Consider the following 20,686-nt stretch of genomic DNA (forward strand, 5'->3'; position numbering starts at 1 on the left):
CAGGAGTGGGCAGGCTTGATCGGAGATTAACAGGACCCAAAACGATGCTGCAGATAGAAGACACTTGAAGTGATACAACCCTGCAGAAAGCCGCCCCTATCACAGGGAGGCAGTGGCATGTGAAGGAAACAGAATGGAACTAGGAGCTTGAGCATTTGGATTCCCGCTCCAGTCTGGCGTTTCTTACAGGCTTTGTGACCTCAGGGGACTTCAATCTCTGTTCTTGTCTTAGGACCAGATGGCTAACAATACCTGCCTTGTTTTTGTCATCAGCTTATTTTTAAAGTAAAATATTAATAGCTATCAATTTTGAAAATTTATATGTGCGAGCCACTGGGATAAGTATATTACAATTATATTCTCATATAACACTCTAACAACCCGATGAAGTAGAACTTGTTATTATCATACCCATTTTACAGGTGAGGAAACTGAAAATCAGAAAGTTAAGTAAATTGTTGAAAGTCACATAGCTACTAAGTGGCAGAGTTGGGGTTTTAATACTATCTGCCCAATTCCAAAGCCTGTACTTGTAACTGCTATAGTGATGAGATGTGGTTATATAATTTCAAAGCCTTTTGAAAGTTAAAAATAAAAGGGAAAAATATCAGATGTCACTTAAACCCAGTCACTCAGACCCTCACTGAATACTTACATACCCGTACTTTACCTATAATCTTAATGCAATTAGGTTATCTGCTTTCCCAGGACAAATGGAGCACAGGATAAATCAAATCTGAATGTTATTAGGGTACCATTTGAGGAAGGCACTGACAGGGCACAAAGTAATTCCCTAAGGTGACAGAAGAGACAGAACCATTCTCCTTTTTATGGAATGACGACCCTTACCCAGAACTTGTTCTCTCAGCTATTTCCAGGGATTTCTCACTTGTCAATTTAAAACCTGTGTAATTGAGTGAGCATATGTTTGTCTATAGGGTGATGGCCTTGTCTAAATCTGTTTTTGTAGTTCTCAAATGGATTGTCATTTGTGTGTCAGACTAAGGCACTCTCCCCTAGAAATGAAAGCTGTCAAGTAGCAGAAGACAAGACCCCAGTCCTCACAGATAGCTGGAAAGACCTAAAAACAGGAATTCTAGAAATGGCTAGACTTTGACATTTGGCCTAGTGTTTCATCATAATTTTAGCCAAAATGGGAAAACAAGTCAAAGCATATTGCAAGATGCAGTGTCCTGGGTCACTGTGTTCGTATGCAGACAGCATCTTTGTTCTGCTCTGATCAGCCCAGTGAAGTAGAAAGGGGAGGCTTTGAAGACAGATCAGGATTTGAATTCTGGTCCTCCTACTTACTAGCTGAATAGCCTTACTTTCATCGTCCATAAAACAGGAGTAATAATAACTTCCATTCCAGGTTGTTGATAGGATTAAATGAGAATAGAGAGAAAGTGCTAGGCACATAGTAGGGACTCAATAAATATTAATTCTTTATTCATTTCCTTCACTTGCCAAGTTTTAATATTATCTATTTTTTTCTTGACTACACTGTACAATCCCCTTTATTACAAATAACTTTAATTATGTGTCTCTGTGTTCTTGGGGTTTTGGGCTGTTTCATCCCTATTTTCTCAGGGTTCGTTACCTCCATTTCCATGGTGATTTCCCAGCAATGTGCTTCTATTTCTGGTCTGGCTGACAGTCTCCTTGCTGTGCTTTCCTCCTTTTCTGGTTATGGTTTTTGAAGTACACACAGACCACAGAAAGATGGACCAAGATCCAGAGAAGGGTAGTGAGGGAGGCAGTGCCTGATTTCTACCAGGGGGTGAGAATCTCCCCAAGCGACGAACGTTCATGGGTTGGAGTTCACCTGGAGAAGACCTACTGGTCTTTGAGAACCCTGCCTAGATGTTCCTATGAAGAATAATTTTCTTTCTCGAAGTCCCTAGCTAAGTCTGTTCCACACATAACATGTTTGCATTATTTGGGGTCAGCTCTACTCCAGGAGACTGGACCAGAGCTGGGATTTTGTACAGTTCTGCCCACAGTGCCCACTCCAGATTCTGGTAAAGAGTAGGGGCTCATGGAAAGCATAATCCATATGGCAGGCATTTTATCTAATTAGGACAGATCTGTAACGAAGTCTTTATTATAAACAATGCAAGTCAGTGCACAAAATTCTACACACAGTAATCTGCAACGCTTCCTCAAGACAGCCCTATTTAGGTATTACTAATTTATTTTAGAGTTGAGGAAACTGAGGCTCATGGAGATAAGTAACTTGCCCAAAATCATACACTGCTGAGAGTAAGAACTGTGATTAGAATCCAGGCTCAGCTGAACCCACATGTTTACCTAATATAGCACACAACTTTTGTAGTAGTAATAATTTCATCCAGGCAACAGAATTGGGAGGGATCCCAGTTTGTCTTAGGCAGAAATTGAAAGCTCTTTCACTAGGATGATATTTTGAAAGAGATGTATCCAAAGGTCATTAAAACCACATTGTTTACCAGATCTTCTCCAGCTTTGTTTTTCATTAGGTGGTCTTTATTAGGAATTGATTCTTTAAGAACCACAACTTGCCACAGGCAGCTAAAAGTTATTTGCTGCAAAGAGCAGCAGAGGCCAGTTTGATGGTAACAAGAAATGTCAGGTAACAGAGCAGTCAGAGCGAAATGTTAGATTACCTGCTGTCCATGGTAGAACACAGCCAGGAGGAACATGGCCATCAGTAGCAGTGATACCTCCTTGGTCCCCAGGAAATCTCTGTTGGAAGAAAAAAGGAACTGATAACCATGGGGGGACTTCAAGGAGACCTATGAGAAAACTGAGGTTCAGAAAGGAGTGGTATAAAAAGAAAAAAACACACATCTTTTCAGCACCTATTATGTGATAGTGGCTGCTCTAAGGGTTTGCACATTGGCTAATTCAAAAATCAATTGACCCCCAAGGGTATGAGGTGACCCAGAACACATATGGTGAAAGAGATTCTAGAGTCTAGTGTCTAGATGGTACACTCACATTAATAATAATGTTTTCTATGTGCAGAACACATTTTATAGATTTTAAACAGCCTTTATACTTTCCTATCAAAATCCATGTGAAGATGGAATCTAGCTTTATGCTAAAAAAACCTTCCCAGCTTATACTGGGCCAGGCACAGTTCAACTCATCAGGATTGGACAGGGACTTAGACTTAGGAGTGAAAATGTACATTCTTAGGGAGGTATTTTGCATATGAGGATTAAGAGGACCAAATAACTCTGTGGGCTGGGACAAGAGTCAAATCTGTGAATACCTTGGAGAAAAGATGTTAACAATAGATGATACTAATTATTATGCTTCTATAGACCCAGAGAAGCACATAATTATTGAGCATCTACTGTGTGCCAGGCATAATATTCTGGGATATAGAGATGAAGAAGGCATGTTGTCTTTGTCCTTGAAACATTAAGTAAGAGAAATAAATACACAGATAATTTTATAATATGATAAACTCCGTGGAAAGGATACATCCTTGTTGCCATAGGAATACACGGGAAAAAAAGCAACCCAGGCTGGGTGTTCAGGGAAGGCTGAAGAGCTGAATCCTAAAAGATAAGGCTTCACAAGGAAAAAGTGGGATGGGTTCTCTAGGTACAGGACATCTATTTTGCTTAGCTAGGTGGTTTATAGGTCTCCAGTATGGGGATAAAAAATAAATGTCATATATCATGTTTGAAGCCATATGTAGACTCAGGAGGAGAGAGTGCTAACAGAGCTGTCCACTGTGAGTGCTAAAGTGAAGAGGGCTGGACTGTGAGCCACACATTGTCATCCTGCATTTTAGGGCTGAGGAGTCATCCATCCATTCATGAATCCATGAATCCATGAATCCATGAATCCATCCATCCATCCATCCATCCATCCATCCATCCATCCATCCATCCATCCATCCATCCTTCCAGCCATCCACCATCACCATCAGGCTTATTTTGAGGACATAGACACATTCCAGTACCATCCTTTTATTCTTTCATGTCACTCAATTCTCTAGCCTCTGAAGTTTGTGGACCCCTGAAAAAAGATTAAAGACATGAGGTTTGGACTCGTGAAGATCCAGGTTCCAATGTCAGCTTTTCTACTGACCAGTTGTTTGACCTTGGAAAGGTCATTTAACATCTCTGAGCCTCAGTTGAATGTATTTAATAGTGTATACCTCTATAATTGTGAGGATTAAATGAGTTAATCATGGTTATGTGCTTGGCACAGTGCCTGGCCCACATTTCCCCCTTGCCACCCTGTGAAGCACCTGACACATCATCTTGCTCATGGTGGTGGAGCTTTAAAAAGTCACTTGTTCACATTGCTTAGTTTGAATGAGCATGTCCTGCGTTCAGCTCCTCCTTGTGACTTCTTCCCAAATCCCTGCTCTGCCTGGCACTTTGGATATCCTTTGCTTTGCCATACAGAAGACTTTAAGCCCAGAAATTTATCATTTGAAACACATTTTCAAGAGAAAACACAAATACCTCTTGAATTATTTTGAAAGCAGTGATTGACCAAAAATAGAAAGATGACTAGACAAAACTCAGAAGAAAAAGTAAAAATTATGAACAATTTTTGAGTCATTCACTGTATTGCAGATGGAAAAAACAGCCTGAGCACAGACTGCAGAATATGCACAGTAAGTCAGCCAGGCTGAGGAGCATCAGAACTGTGGTTTGAAATTAGAAAGTTTTTATTTTTGTAGTTTCAATGATTCCTTAAAGAACTTCCAAAGAGAGCCAAATGACTGAAATCTGTACTGTATTATAATGTTTTGCTTAATATTGGTTGCCAGGGACTTAAAACCAAGAACATGTTGAACTAATTTATTTGTATTAATAAAATCACTGAGTTAATACTGTCATCTCTTTATGCTAATAGAAAGGAACATTCTTAAGTGAAAACCCATGTAGCATAATGTAATTTTCAGGGCTATAACAATCTTTAGAGATCATCTTATCTGATGTATCACAAAAATTAATATTTGAGTGCTATTCATTACAGAAATATTTATGCTAATTATAGTGAGTTTGGAAACTAATAAAGATGCACATATAAAAAAATAAAAATTGCCCTTAAGCCTACCACCCAGAGAAGACAATGGTTAAAATTTTGGAGTTAACTAAATGTCATTTCCTTTTACCCCATACAAAAAAGTATGTTTACAAATTTAGGATTGCATAGCTCTCATACTGTTTCGTAAGCTACTTCAGACTTACTAAAAATTATGAAAATAATTTCAAGTAATTAAGTACCTTTTGTGCACTTAGCAGATTTATTCTAGTTCATATTATGTGCACCACACATAATGTAATATCCCTTGAAGCCTTTTATTTTACAGGTAGAGACTGAGGCCCACGGAGGAGTAGTCATTTTCCCAAGGTCACATAGCTCATTTGTGTCAGAGCCAGGATGAGAACTCATAGCTCAGGCACCAAATTCAGCATGTTCATTATAGCACATTTGACCCCGAATTTTTAGTTTATTATTAGTTCCCAATTGCTTCTATGACACTCATAATAAACCATTCAGCTTGAATTTATCTTTTATTCTGTTGTCATAATAATGACTGTAAGTGCTAATTTTATGCCATACTCTAATAACCACTTTACATATTCTGCCTACTTTAATTGTCATATCAACAATCAAGATACTATTATTCCCATTCTAGAAAAAAAATCCAAGACTGAGTTGTTAAAAAATTTAACTTAATTAGCTAGCGAACAGTGAAGACTAGCTATCAATTCAGATCTCAGTGGTATTTTTCAGTAGCTACAATGCCCTCCTCTGTGTACCTACTTATAATTGCTTGCCCTTAAGGTCCTAAAGGATAAAAATAATGCCTTATTCATCTATGAACCTGCAGGGCCTAGTAAAAACCCACAGAAAACAATGTAATGTGTATTGAATGGATACATGGACGAATTCACGAAGGTCGTGTGATGTTGGACAAATGTTATTTGGCTTTGACTCTACACGTGGATTATTTCCTGGTTGTTCATTCCTCCTATTGACCCTGCTGTTTCATGTGGATTAGTGCAATAGCTAGAACTGGTTCAATAATTTGTGGACCCACTGTAAAATGAAAATGCAGGGGTTTCTTGAAATTTTTTTTTAGAGAATTTCAAGATGGTGAAAGCAGGGCATTAAACAAAGCAAGGCCCTTCTGAGTGCAGAGCCCTATGTGAATGCACAGGCCACATATCCATGAAGCTGGCCATTACAGTTGCCTCCCAAATAGTCTTTCTGCATCCATTCTTGTCCCCATCTAGTCCTTTAGTTGTAGCAGACAGTGTTCTTTTGAATTACCCCAACTTCTCATTGGTTAAAATCCTTTTGTGCATCCCAAAACCTTCTTGATTCTTTTTAATTTTATTTTTAATTGATGTGTAACAATTGTACATATTTATAGGGCACAGAGCGATGTTTCAATACATGTGTACTATGTGTAATGATCAAAGCAGGTTAATTAGCATATTCACTACCTCACATATTTATCATTTCTTTGGGAACACTCAAAATCCTCTCTTCTAGCTATTTAAAAACATACAGTAAATTATTGTCAATTATAGTCACCCTGCAGTGCTATAGAACACTAAACATACTCCTCTTATCTAGTTGAATTTTGTATCTATTAACCAACCCCTCTCTGTAGGAAGGACTGATGTGTTATACAACGCTGAAATGTTGCAGGTGTCTGTTTTCATGATTGGGTAGCAAGATCTGCATCACTTATCTTAATTCTACTTTTGTGGCATTTGCCTTGAAAGGCTGAAGATGATGAATGGGAAGTGTGCCCAAGTTCAAGTGTACTGTGCCCTGTGATTTGTATTCATATTTTGTGTTGTGTAACTCAGACTGATGAGGTGCACTTGGCCCAAGTGAAGTAGTTTCCATCATAAACCTGGAAAAGTTCCTGTTTTAAGGCTGGGCCTAGAGAAGATCAGTTCTGCTTCTAAAAAGTCTGATGTGTCTTTATGCAGACATTGTTTTCTGCAACAGTATGGTCACTGATGAGGCACTTGAGGATGGAAATCTTAAATCTTCCTTGAAGAATGTGGCTAACCTCTTCGCTGTGTCCTGCCTATACTGACCTAATTTTTACTTTTTAATTGAGCAGACCTTGATTGATTTACTCTGGTGTGGTCTGTGCCTGGTCTTTCTGTCTCTCTGCCTCATTATTGATCCATCAGCATAGTGGCCACACAGGCGGTCATCCTGAGACACTAAAGAGACTCAGCTGCATGGACTGAAATTATCCTGGAGGACTACTTCCGCAGGATCTTTCAGCCACAGTACTGGGCATGGCAACAAAGTTGGAGACCTCCTAGGGTTATTTTCACTTTGATGAATATTCTCGTATAAACATGAGAGTAGAATTGGAAATGGTTCAGTGAAAAGTACATTGAACATGGTTGGCATAAAGAATGGCATTCCAGAACTGGCTTTGTCATATACTAGTAGTTCATAGTTTCCCTATCATTAAAAGAAGACTGAATCTTCCTATGTTTGAAAAGAGGAAGATGGCACTCACATCAAAAGGTTATCAAGATGTTTAAATGAGATGATAAATTAGAAAGAGACATATGAACTATTAAGTATTGTATATATATGAGAGAAAATTGATATATGGCCACTATCATCAGTCTTTACAATTCTGGTTATTTATGAGGACTGTGTGGACAAATGAACATTTCCGATGTAATAAACAAATGGGGATCAAACTAAAACAATTTTAGGTCAGAAAAAATCTTTTCTCCACCACATGGCTTCTAGATTCTGCCTGTGCCAATTTTCTTTAATTCCCTCCAAATGCTTTTAGATAAGTGTTTTTCCTAGATACTATCTATTCTAACTCATTCTCATTCATGAGAATGGTAGTACATTTTATGTCTCATCTGGTAGTACATTTTATGTCTGAAATGCCTTCAACATCTAACATTATTGGTATAATCTTGCAATGATTATTTTGGTAACCATGGCTTATCTGCAGCCTGGAGACCTCTGAGAAGCCCCTACACATGCTGTTAGCCTCCAGATGCCAGAAAGCGGAAACAGCAGTGTCATGAATAAAGCGGTGGGTATTTGGGGTGGGATGGGGTGGGAGGCAGCTAGATACCAAAACAAAAGGCAGAGGTGGTATTTGTTGCTTTTGTAAGCATCTTCTTTGTAACAACAGGTGCACAGTAGATCTTAAGATATTTTGTTGAACATCACACACCAGGGCCTGTCGTGGGGTGGGGGGTTGGGGGAGGGATAGCATTAGGAGAAATACCTAATGTAAATGACGAGTTAATGGGTGCAGCAAACCAACACGGCACATGTATACATATGTAACAAACCTGCACATTGTGCACATGTACCCCAGAACTTAAAGTATAAAAAAAAGATGTTTTGTTGAATTAAAATATATGTTCTTGATGTTCTGCGGAAGCAGATGAGTAGTATGAGTATGTTGATATAGGAGTTAAGAAGAAATTTCTTAGGTAGATAGTGAGGGTATGGAAGTCTTCATTAAGGTTTCCCTTTTAATGAAGAGCATCCCCAAATTATTTTCCTTTCTAACAAGGGCAGCCTGTAAAATCCAGCTGCAGACACAGATGCTGGCAAGTTGTGCCAATCATGTTCAAGATGGTGGCTCCATCTTCTCTTCTCTTTGTCATCCAAGTGTACAGTAAGGAGCAGACAAGATGGCACTGGTCAACTGGAAAGCCCATTTGCATAATAAGATTAGGGTGGGGCAGCCAGCTTTCCCCATGCTCTATGTAAACATCATACCTGATCGAACCAATCTGTGAGCCTATGTAAATCAGACACCACCTCCTCAAACCTGACTATAAAATCTGGCACATCTGCTGCTGGCCAGTCTTTTCTCTTGGAAGTCCCCTCTTTTCACTAAAGAGAGAGCTAGTTTCCTTTCTCTTCCTTTCTCTTTCTTTTGTCTATTAAACCCCACTCCTAAACCACTTGTGTATGTCTGTGTCCTAAATTTTCCTGGCACAAGATGACAAGCCCAGGTGTCTACCCCAGACAATGTAGCTGCTTCATATTGGGGACCTCATCTGGGATACCAAGGTACAACATTCATTGAAATGGTAAATAGAGGAGTGGACTCCAACTCTATCCTTTCATTTTGGAGCTCTCAGCCTCCATTTTAGAACTAAATAAAATCAAATCAATAACAGGCATCTGTCAGCCAGTTAAAAATATGGTTAGTGTTGCTGCTGTTCTTAAAGACTCAGATACGATCATTACTGGGGAGAACATGGAGAATCCTGGTTACTGGGCATGTTGGCTGTGTTTGAACCGGCTTCCTTTCAAGGAGGACTTAGCCTTCGTGTGGGGCTGGAAGAGGTTCTGGAGCAACTGAGGATTTCCAGCTGGGGCTAACCCCCGGGGTTATCCAAAGGCTTCTGAACTGACGCCAGCCTCCAACTGCCTGATGGGGTGTTGGCAACAGGATCTCCAACTTTCCTATTGTAGTTTCCTCCTTTCCTGTCTGAGACAGCCATGTCTCCTATCCTCTCTGTGTATGCAATGTGGGGGAAATTTTACAAAAGTAATCTTGTTTGGCAAGATTAGGCAATGTCATAGTAACTAGGCATATAGCTCAAGGGAAGGCGTACTTGTGATTTTTGAGGAACAGAGGGTCCCCCCCACCCACAGTGAGTGTCTCTCTCTGCCCTTGGCCTGGAGGGCACATGGCACTTCCAAGTCACTCTGTGCCCTTGGTCTGGAGAGCACATGGCATTTCCAGGTCTCTCTCTGCCCTTGGCCTGGAGACCACATGGCATTTCCAGGTCTCTCTCTGCCCTTGGACTGGAAACCGCATGGTGTTTCAAGGTTAACAGTGCCACCTAGTGGAATAGGGATCCTTTCCATGAGGCAGATTGTTGGTCTTTTTCTGAAACACCCTAGCTTCCCAATTCTCCCTTTTTGTGCCCCTCTACTAAAAACCAGGCTTTATGCTGCTTTGGTGAATGGGAAAATTCTGTCTTCAACAATTAGGAGTAAAATATCTTCTGAAACCAAATTTTAGTCTCAATACTGTCCCATCAGTAGGTAAATGGCCATTTGGTCCTTACATTTTTTAAGGCACCTATTCTGCCTCCAGTTAGAATGGTACTTACTTAGTAAGGGGATTTTAAGTTTGGAAGTTAACCAGAACCATTCTTGGAGGGTGAACACTTTAGCACAGGTGATAATGGCAGGGTATAGAGCTCAAACCAGCACACTTCCTTTATAAAGGAGGGAAGTGTAACAGTTGCCCAAGTGCAAATGTCACGTAGTCTCTCCTGAGATCCATTTCTTTTTGGCTGGGGGAGCCAGGCAGGTCACAAAAGTCTAGATAGTCAAAGGGAAGTCACAGGCAGAGCACTAGAGTTGCATGGGTGAGCGTGACAAATCCCAATTACCTAGTTCCTCTGGTTCCATGGCCGAGGTCACGCCTGCAACCATGGGTGGCACATTCAACACCGTGCCTGGATAAGCCAGTTTATCGATCTGGGTAGGCAAGCTGATCCATCAAGGGCAGGGTTTATAAAATATCTTAAGCACTGATCTTGAGAGCAGTTTAGAGAGGGTCAAAATCTTGTAGCCTCTAGCTGTGTGACTCCTAAGCCATGGTTTCTAATCTTGTGGCTAGTTTCTTGGTCTGGTTCCCAGGTAAGAGGGAAGTATATCTTAGGAAGGGGCTGGTATCATCTTTGTTTTAGATTGTGAACTGTAAACTTTTTATTGGGTTTGGTAATATGTCACACCCTGGCTTTGAAAAGAAGTTTATAAAGGAAAGAGATTTTATGTAAGAAAGGATCTTGTATGATAAATACTTGTCCTAAAGACAATAGTTGGTTGTTTAAAAGAAGCATGTTTAGGACAAGTCAGAAGGTCTAAACATGTTGTAGATGGTTCATGGAAGTCATGAAAGGATTATAAGGAAGGTAAATACTTGTCCTAAAAAGAATAGTTGGTTGTTTAAAAAGAAGGATGTTTGGGACAAGTTGGAAAGTTTAAGCATGTCTTACATGGTCTATGGTAGTCATGAAAGGATTAATAATTGCAGGAAAGATTTAGCCAAGGTTAACACTAAAGTTACTCTAGCCACCCAAATCCAATGCCACTTATCCTAAAAGGAATGTTACTTCTATATTGACATTTCAGCAACATCTGGTGGAGGTAAACCAGTTTTACAACCCACTGGAATGGCTGACAGCAATCAAACTCCAAATGGTGCTGTAGACAGAACCATGCATGAACATGCCTTTCTTCCAAGGACCCTTAGATTTACCCCAGGAGGAGCCCTAGCTGCTGTTCTTCACACAATGCCCTTTTCAGCAGGAAGTAGCCAGAAACCTTTGTCATCCAACACCCCTAACAGCACTTAGGGTTACCAATCCAGAGGGAGGAACGATACAGGAGTTAAGAAGAAATTACTTAGGCAGATAGTGAGGGCATGGAAGTCTTCAGTAAGGTTTTCCTCTAATTGAAAAGCAGCCCCAAATTATTTTCCTTTCTAACAAAGGAAAGCCTGTAAAAATCAAGCTGCAGACATAGATGCTGACATTGTGACAATCATGTTCAAAATGGTGGCTCCATCTTCCCTTCTCTTTGTCAGCCACGTGTACAGTAAGGAGCAGATAAGATGGCACCAGTCAACTGGAAAGCCCATTTTCATAATAATATTAGGGTGGAGGGGTCAGCTTTCCCCACATGATATGATGTCATACCTGATTGAATTAATCTGTGAGCCCTATGTAAATCAGACACTGTTTCCTCAAACCTGATTATAAAATCTGATGCATCTGTCCCTGATCATTCTTTCCTCTCAGGAGTCCCCTCTCTCTCAATAGAGAGAGAGCTGTTTTCCTTTCTCTTTCTTTTGCCTATTAAATCTCCACTCCTACACCCCTCATGTGTGTCCATATCCTAAATTTTCCTGGCATGAGGTGATGAACCTTGGGTATCTACCCCAGACAACATAGCCACTTCACTGTCATTGCCTCTTCCAAACTTTAGACTAAAAAGAGGGTGGGTTTGTGAGGGAGACTCCCTCCCAGCACATCACCTACAAGGTGCTGTTAGGACCAGCAAAACTGATGCTCTTATTAAGTCTATTTTGTTGCCTCCCTGAATTAAAAACATGCCCACTGATGAGTGGAAACAGGTGCCAGAACTCAATTCTAGGTTTTCTAACCTGAATTACAATGCATTAATGCATTCCAGTATTTTGCCTATGTTTTAAGAAGTCAACAAGGTGTAGGTAGTGTGGAAATAGTATCTTCTGGTGATCAGTTAGAATACATAAGTAATAAAGACTATGAGAGGACAAAACACTAAATGCTTTGGAACAAGCCAGAAGGCTTGGGCAAATAGAAAAAAACCACATTAAATGTGAAGTATGACACAAATCCAAAAGCAAATTGTGCTTATAGGTTGAGGAGCACATATTATAAGGGCAATAATGAGAAAAAATCTTAAGGGTTGTGAATGATAGTTGGCTTACTGTGTGTGAATCAATGATGTAATATGATTCCAAATGAGCTAATGCTTCTTTCAGTCACTCAATCATTTAATATTTCATTCTGCAAATATTTAATTGGACACCTTGCCAGATAACCCTAAGTGCTTACTATATGAACATGAGTAATGGTCCTTGTCTTCAAAATTTCCTATTTTAATGGAAGAGGAAGACATGAAAATTAGTTACTTCAACACAGTGAGGTAAATGCAATAATAAACACTTAAGTACACAGATTGGAAAATGAGGAATGGCCAAAGATGGTTTTGCCAAGGAGAGTGTCCTTAAATTGGGTCTAGAGAATGATAGGTTGGAATCATTCAGGGAGATGGACATATCAGGCAGGGGGATATATGTGCAGAAGCTCATTTGAGAAAAGACGTGATTTCCCATGGTTCGAATACAGCCTATAAATGTTGACCTGTGTAGTAAGGAGTCAGTGTGGTCCAGATGAAGGAGAGATTTAAAAATCCTAAGTAAACTGGTTTGAAAATTTAACTTCTTAGAGGTAACAAGAAGCTCTTAAAGGGTTTTTAGAAAGAATATGAGTTCACCACATGCCTTTGAGGAGGGGGAATTGAGAGTGGAGTTTAAGAGATCAGTTAGAGGACATCAGTCCAGAGATGAGAGTGAGGATCTTTCCAGAGTGGCAGCATTTGTGATATGGAGGGGTGATGTCTAATAACAAACATTAGCACATATCAAGTGCTTATCATATGCCAGACCTGTGCTAAGCTTCTATTATCACACTTGTTTCCTTTTATATTTCTACAGCATAGGGACTATTATTATTCCCTCCTTACTGATGAGAAAAACAGGGCTTAGAGAAGTTAAATCATTTTAAATTAATTTGATCAAGATCACATATCTGGTTGATGGAACAGCTGGGATTTCAATTCAGTTGGTTTAAGTCCTAAACTTGTACTCACAAGTATTGAGATATAGTGCTTCCCTACAAGAAATGCTGAGGAAGATGGGTCTCTAGTGACTGCTAAGATGTTAGGGGTAAGGGTGCCTCTCCTGTTTTGGGCTGGGCATCATGAACTAAATCAGAGGGTTGTTGTGGGACAGGTAGTTTGACGAGCAGATTGGGAGATGTCAGTGTGAAGTATTCAGGGCCATCCCAATGAAGATGCGGCCAGGTTGTTGTGTCCAGGGTTTTCTGTGCTACCTTTTACATTTTATCTGTTTTCCCCAGATACCTAATGTATAGGAACAACCAGCAAAAACTATTCTTGAACTATTGTGAACTCCTAAAGTGTTGGTTAAATCCAAACAGCGTGAGTAGCCTACGACTGCCAATTCACTACCGAGTGACTATCGACCTGTAGATTTATAATACAGCTGAGATGGAAGGCTGGCTGAGTTCCTTCATTTCTTATTGATTTCATTCCATTGATAGCAAAGAGTAAGGCAATAGAAGACTAGCCAATGATTGTTCTCAAGTCAGGAAAAAGCTGAAAAAAGCACTTGATCGCCAGCAGCAATGAACCTGGAGTTATATTTACTTTCATGATCTTAGTTAATTTGATTACAAACTCTTCCTGAAGACCTCCAAACAGAATCCAGAACTAAGCTTCTCTCATAAGAAGGAGAGAGGGAATAGGAATCAACATATATTGAGTACCTGCTATGTGCCAGGCAAATAACAGCCTCACAGCAGCCCTAGGGCAATGCTATGAAATGAATTGTCTCCCCTCAAATTCATATGACTTTGCATATGCAACAGAGTCTAGATTTGAAGCCAAAGACCCAGCTTATTCCGTTAATGTTGTGTCTGCCTTTAATTCCATAAATTGTAGATGGTTTTACTTTTATTTTTACTCTAAAGGTGGCTTATTTTGTTCATACATATCTTTGCCCTCTTTTGTGTTCATTTTTGCATGGCCATGATATATCCATGGCCACTAACCATCTTACCTAATTTGAAAATGTTTTGAGTTTCTTTGAACCCTTGGAATATGGTGGAATGTTATTCAGTATGATTTAAAAGCGGTGCACACAGTACTTAAAAAGTGGACTTTGGAGTCAAAAAGACCCAAGTTTGAATACGGATCTGTTATTTACTGGCCGTGTGAACCTGGGTAATTGCTAACTTTTCTTAGCCTTTGTTCTTCAGAATGTTACTCTGAAGATTAAATAAAGCACACAAAATGCTTGATATACATGTAAATTAGACATTAGTATCTGAAGTTTATAAAGAACTCTTACATCCTGGCTATTGTGAATAATGCTGCAATGAACATGAGAGAGCAATCTGAAATTATTCTTCAGTGGATAAATGGAAAAAGAAAATGTGGTATACGAACACAATGGAATACTATTTAGCATTAAAACAGAAGGAAACCCTGCCACTTGCTACCACATGGATGAACCTGGATGACATTATGTTAATGAAATGAGCCAGGCTAGAATCTGGATCTGGGACTTCCCAGCCTCCAGAACTGTGGGAAATAAATTTCTGATATTTATACTAGTCTGTGGTATTTTGGTTATTGGCCAACTGAGCTGACTAATATAGACAGATGATATATATGTCACTTTACCTATGAGCAAACTGAGCACAGGGTCACTACTGGTAGGCCTACTCTTGTTGACAAAACTGCATGTTATCATTTATATATGGAGTCTAAGAATTTTGAACTCATAGAAGCAGATAGTAAAATTATGGTTACCAGAGACTTGAGGTGTGTGTGTGTGACATGAAATTGAGGAGCTTTTAGTCAAAGGATACAAAATTTTAGTTAGACAAGAGAAATAAATTCAAGAGATCGATTGTAAAACATGGCAACTATAGCTAATAGCAATGTATTGTATACTTGAAAATTGCTAAGAGAGTAGATCTTACGTGCTGTCACCACCTACAAAAAAAGCATGTGAAGTAATGCATATGTTAATTAGCTTGATGTAGCCATTCTACCACATATACATAGGTCAAAAAATCATGTTTTATACCATAAGTATATACAATTATTTGTTAATTAAAAACAAAAATAACTCTTACAAATTCAACAAGAAAATGATGAATAACCCAACAGAAAACTGGGTAAAGGATATGAGCTGGCAATTCACATAAAATAAAACCCAAATAGCCAACAAATAAACAAAAAGATGAGCAAGCTTACACATAATCAGAGAAGCACAAGTGTAAACAGTGCAATAAAACACACACTCAACCAAACAAATATTTTAAAAATCTAACAGTGTAGGTGGGAATGAGAGCAACAGGACCACTGCTTGTAAGAGGAAAATCGTGTCAGTCACATTGGAGAGCAATTTGGCAATATTTTAAAAAGTGGAAAACGCAGATACCCTACAATCCAACAAGAGTGCTTTTATGTCTACACCCCAGAAGATATGATCAATGATGGTAATTAAAGCATTTTTTATAATAGGGAAAACTGGTAACAACCTAAATGTCTCTATTAATAGGTCAAAGGATAAACATATTTTGATGTTTGTGTTATTTCATATGTACAGACAACAACTAAAATGAAATCCATATATATCAACCTAGATGGATCTAGAAAGATAATATTACATCACAACAAAATAGTAAATATTATAAATAATTTATAGATACAGACCTAGCTATATGTATATGTAAATATATGTGTGTGTTTATATGTGCGTGTGTATATATGTGTGTATGTATACATTATATATATAACATGGATGGGAAGGATATATATTCAGTACATTAGAAGTTGGATTTGAGGAGACAGAGAGGAGAATAATACTAGAGAAAGGAATTTCAACATCTGAAACACATTATCCTTTTAAAAATGCATAAGAAAATATGACTAGTTGTTAGCATTGTTTACTTCCAGGGCTTGGTTCATGGACATTCATATTATTAGTTCTGGGCATATTTTCTTAGCCTTCTTGGATTATCTTGGCCTTATTCTTTTCCTTTGACTGTTGGCCACTTATTCTGGCCTCAGCTAGTCCTGTGTGCTTCCAATACCTGAGACCAATCAGCCTGGACTGGCTCCTTCCATCACTTCTTGTGTGGGGTCTGTTTACCCCAGCAGCTGTGAAAGGGTCCAAGTGATGTCATCAGAAAGTGCATGCAAAAAGGGAACTCTTGCCAATGGGAGAGACAGGGAAGGAGCCAGCAGACATATTTTTCTGCCTTCCTCTGTCCTGAGACACTTTTTCCCACCTTAGAGCCTGCCCAGAGGCATTTCAAATGGCTCTGCGAGTGGATTTTCCAAGGCACCAGCTGAATCTCTTCAGAGCCCATGTTGCCAGCAAAATGTAGTGGTAGCTTGCATTCGCCTCTCATCCTTTTCTTCCTCACTTCTCTTTTCCCTCACTTTCACTGCCTTGGGGTTTCATTAGCCTTGCCTTGGGCTGTTTTTCTCTAAGGAGTCTGGGTAAGATATTCTTTTTTGTACTTTTCTATATTTCAGCAGTAATACGTTTGTCCCTTGGTATCAGCCCTGTGGATACCAAAATCCATGCATGTTCAAGTCCCTTATATAAAATGTCATAATTTTGCATATAACCTATACATATCCCCCCCATGCTTTAAATCATCCTTAGATTACTTATAAAACCTAATACAATGTAAATGCTATGTAAATAGTTGTTAAACTATACTGTTTTTGTTTGTAATATTTTTAATTTTTTTTAAAGTATTTTCAATCTGAAGTTAGTTGAATCCACAATGCTGTGGATATGGAGGTCCAACTGTACGATGCAATGGGAGAGCATGAGGGCTTAATACACAGTGGCTGCTATTATTAATATTGCTACAGCCAAATTACAAACAGATCCTACAAGTGTTGAAGCCACTAAATTTGAAGAAATCATAAGTGATCAGACTTGGAGGAGACCTGAGCTACTATTCAGTCCAAACTTTGATTAATTCATCTGTAATTCATATAAATGATACCACTGAAAAGTCAGGATTTTTGCTTGGACTTGTAAACTACAGAATGCCTGATTTGAGATATAAGTCAATATCCAATCAGGCCTTAAGTTTTAGTAATGCAGCGGGCATCATTTTCCCAACAATTCCACTTCCCACAGGAAGTTGAGCACACTTTGGACTCACGGTGGTGGGCACTTACTCTCCACTGTGGTTGAGGTTGTCATAACGCAGAAAGAGGCCTGCGTAGACGGTCTCAGTGAGCAGGGCATAGATGGCAATCATGATCAGCAGCACTGCCAGCTTCAGGACGGAGTTCAGCCGGAGGAAAACTGCACAGGTCACCATGGCCAACACCCCCGTGAAGACAAAGTACTGGAAACAGAGAATGCAGGTGGTCAGATTCAATGGGGGCAGCAGTTCCCTCTCCTAGCCATGGATGCTAGTAGGTCTTACACACATTTGCAGAGAGTTTCCATTTGGAGGTCTCAAGGCCTCCTGAAATTCAACAGGTCCCAAATCAAACTCTTCATTTGCCTACTGCCAAGCCCTACTTCTCTGAATGGCATCACTATTCATAGCATTTCCCAAGCCAATAACTTTGGTTTCATCTTTGTTGCCTTCTTCCCTACACAGGCCATCCTAAGTTGGTAGATTCTACTTTTTTTTGTTTGTTTGAGATGGGGTCTCATTCTGTCACCCAGGCTGGAGGGCAGTGGTATCATCTCGGCTTACTGCAACCTCCTCCTCCCAGGTTCAAGCAATTCTCCCACCTCAGCTTCCCCAATAGCTGGGATTACAGGCACATGCCACCACACCTGGCTAACTTTTCTATTTTTAGTAAAGATGGAGTTTCACCATGTTGGCCAGGCTGGTCTTGAACTCCTGACCTCAGATGATCCACCCACCTTGACCTCCTAAAGTGCTGGGATTACAGGCATGAGCCTCCATGCCTGGCTGATTCTTCTTTAATAGATCTTCCCTTCAGCCAGCCTTCTTCCACACTGTTTCTGTCTTAGTTCTCACCAACAGCTCTAGAATAGCTTTTTGGCAGCTCTGTCTGCAGTTAGTCCCCAGTCCCCACCCCACACCCATATCGTTCTCTACTCCATATTTCTAAAGCACAGATCTGATCATGTCACCTCTTAACTTGAAGTTCTTTCATGGCTCTCCACTATCTCAAATTATATTCTCCTTTCTGAATAGTAAAGCTCACAAGGCCATCATATATCAGATTTCCTTTCATTCTCTAAACCCTTCTCCCAAGTCCCAGGGCCCTGTTGCTCGACTCTCATCCATATGCCTAGGGCTTACTCTTCTGGCAAATGTCAGCTTAGGTGTTCTCTCCTCTAAGAAGACTTCCTCAATATCTCCAGCTACGTTTGGATCTTGCTTCATTCCTCCACAGCACCCTGCATAGACCAGCATAACACCTATCACCCTGTATTAGAAGTAACTGCTTAAATTGCAAATTTGGAATTAGCCAAGAGCTGGAATATTAGAGTAGCCCTTAGGTGTCAGTCTACCCCACCAGATTTCAGCCTTTTATGGGAAGCTCCCCAGCCTATTCCTTCCCTTAGAGAAGTATCCTAATATATCATTCTGGATGGTGGGTTCAGACTCTGACTATCAGGAACAAAAAACAAAAAGAATAAAACTTGCATTATCAAAGGCCCATTTTGTGGCAATATTGTGATCTCTATACACATTTTCACTTGTAACATTCAAAGTAACTGGTCAAGATGGGAGTCATAATTCCTATTTTATAGGTTAAGAAACTGAGGTTCATAGAGCTTAAGTAAATTGTCCAAGATCTCTTGGCTATAAAGTGGCATCTAGGTCACCAGGATATAACCAATTCACGTAAATGGGACTCTAGTTAAAATATTGGACTTGATAATTTCTAAAATTCTTTTTGGTCTTGTTATACATGGCTGTTTGTAACAACTTGTCTTTTCTATTACATAGACAATTTTTGTATGGGCAGGGGTGTTGGGTAAGAATTTCCAAAAATGTCTAAGTAATTACTGAAGATTGTTTACAGATTTCTAAGCCTAGCTGGCTAATTTATGCATCCTTTCAACAAATGTTGACATTGACAAGTGTGGAGAGTGTCCTGACTGTGTTCTCTCAGAGGGCAAAGGCCCCATGCCTTTGTGGTACATGGGGTGGACTCATAAGTGAAAAAGGCATTTCCTTGCCATTAGGAGCCTAGTGTCTAGTGTCTCCTTTACTTCTGTCTTTTCCTTTTCCAAGAAATCCAATTATTTTCTGGTCTCAAATGGGATGATAGGCTTTCTTCAGCTATCCTTTAAGATCTTGGGGAAGATTTTTAGGTAATTCATTTTGATGCCTCTGTATAGGAAGCTGTGTCTGAAGTGACTGGGCAATAAGAAGTTCATTCTCCAGAGCTCATTTTCTGCTCCAGAGAAACTCTAAGGCCCTCCAGTTTGACAAAGGCCAAAGAAAGAGGACTAGATCTGAGGGGTCCTGTTTCATTGTTGCCTGTATCACAACAAGGGGCGGTGCATGGCTTTTTGCAAATTATGAATCATTTATTGGATAAAAAGCCATTGAAATGATTGTGTCCTTGGAACAAAAACTTATGTGGTCACAACAGTTAATTTATAAAATGTAATAAGCATTTATTGAGTGCCTATTACAATCAAGACATGGTGCTAGGCACTGGAAATTCAAAGGAGAGTAAGAGATGGCCCAGGCCTAAAGGAAGTCGTGGTCTAAAATGTAAAGCAGACATAAAAATACAAACAATAATCATGGTGGAAAGTGCTTTGCCAGCAATGTGACCAAATGCAATGTGGGTACAGAGGAAGGACAAAGCGTTGTGCATTCTGCAGGCACATCTGAAGAAGGCTATACAGGGGACATGAGTTTGAACTGGACCTTGAAGGACAGAGAGGATTTCACACAGTAGAAAATGGAAAGGGACGGGCATTTTAGGAAGACAGAATAACATGAATGCAAAAGTGTAAAGGAACAAGGTGTCAGGAGGATTGATTCCTTAGGTCATATTAGAGAATCATACAACTACTCATAAAGAGAACTAGTAACACAAGCAGAAGAAAAGATTTGAAGGTGTTGCCCTCCTCCTTTCTCTAACAAGGCTGCTGAAGGTATAATAGGCAAATATAATTGTACATTTGCACAATGTGTTGATGGGTCTTTCTCGTTTTGTTGCCTCAATCAATTGTGGCAGCATGCTCTTGCCTTCTTTACTCCTATCCCCCATTCCATCTAAAGGAATCACCCACTGCCTTGCATGGTTTAGGTAACTTTTTACTTTAAAG

At 39.7% G+C, this 20,686-nt stretch overlaps 1 protein-coding gene across 4 annotated transcripts in view; it reads right to left on the reverse strand.

Annotated features, from left to right (window-relative positions):
• The window catches only part of ADCY8 (adenylate cyclase 8), a 260,609-nt gene that overhangs the window by 38,396 nt on the left and 201,527 nt on the right, over positions 1–20,686 (reverse strand). For all 4 annotated transcript variants that reach the window (XM_017013006.2, XM_006716501.4, XM_005250769.4 and 1 more), the window contains 2 exons: positions 17,581–17,753; positions 2,646–2,724 (listed from right to left, as the gene is read on the reverse strand). In XM_017013006.2, the coding sequence (XP_016868495.1) occupies positions 2,646–2,724; positions 17,581–17,753 (252 nt within the window). The remainder of the gene's footprint in view (positions 1–2,645; positions 2,725–17,580; positions 17,754–20,686) is intronic.

The sequence above is a fragment of the Homo sapiens genome, chromosome 8 (assembly GCF_000001405.40).
Source record: "Homo sapiens chromosome 8, GRCh38.p14 Primary Assembly".
In the NCBI taxonomy this organism is placed as follows: Eukaryota; Metazoa; Chordata; class Mammalia; order Primates; family Hominidae; genus Homo; species Homo sapiens.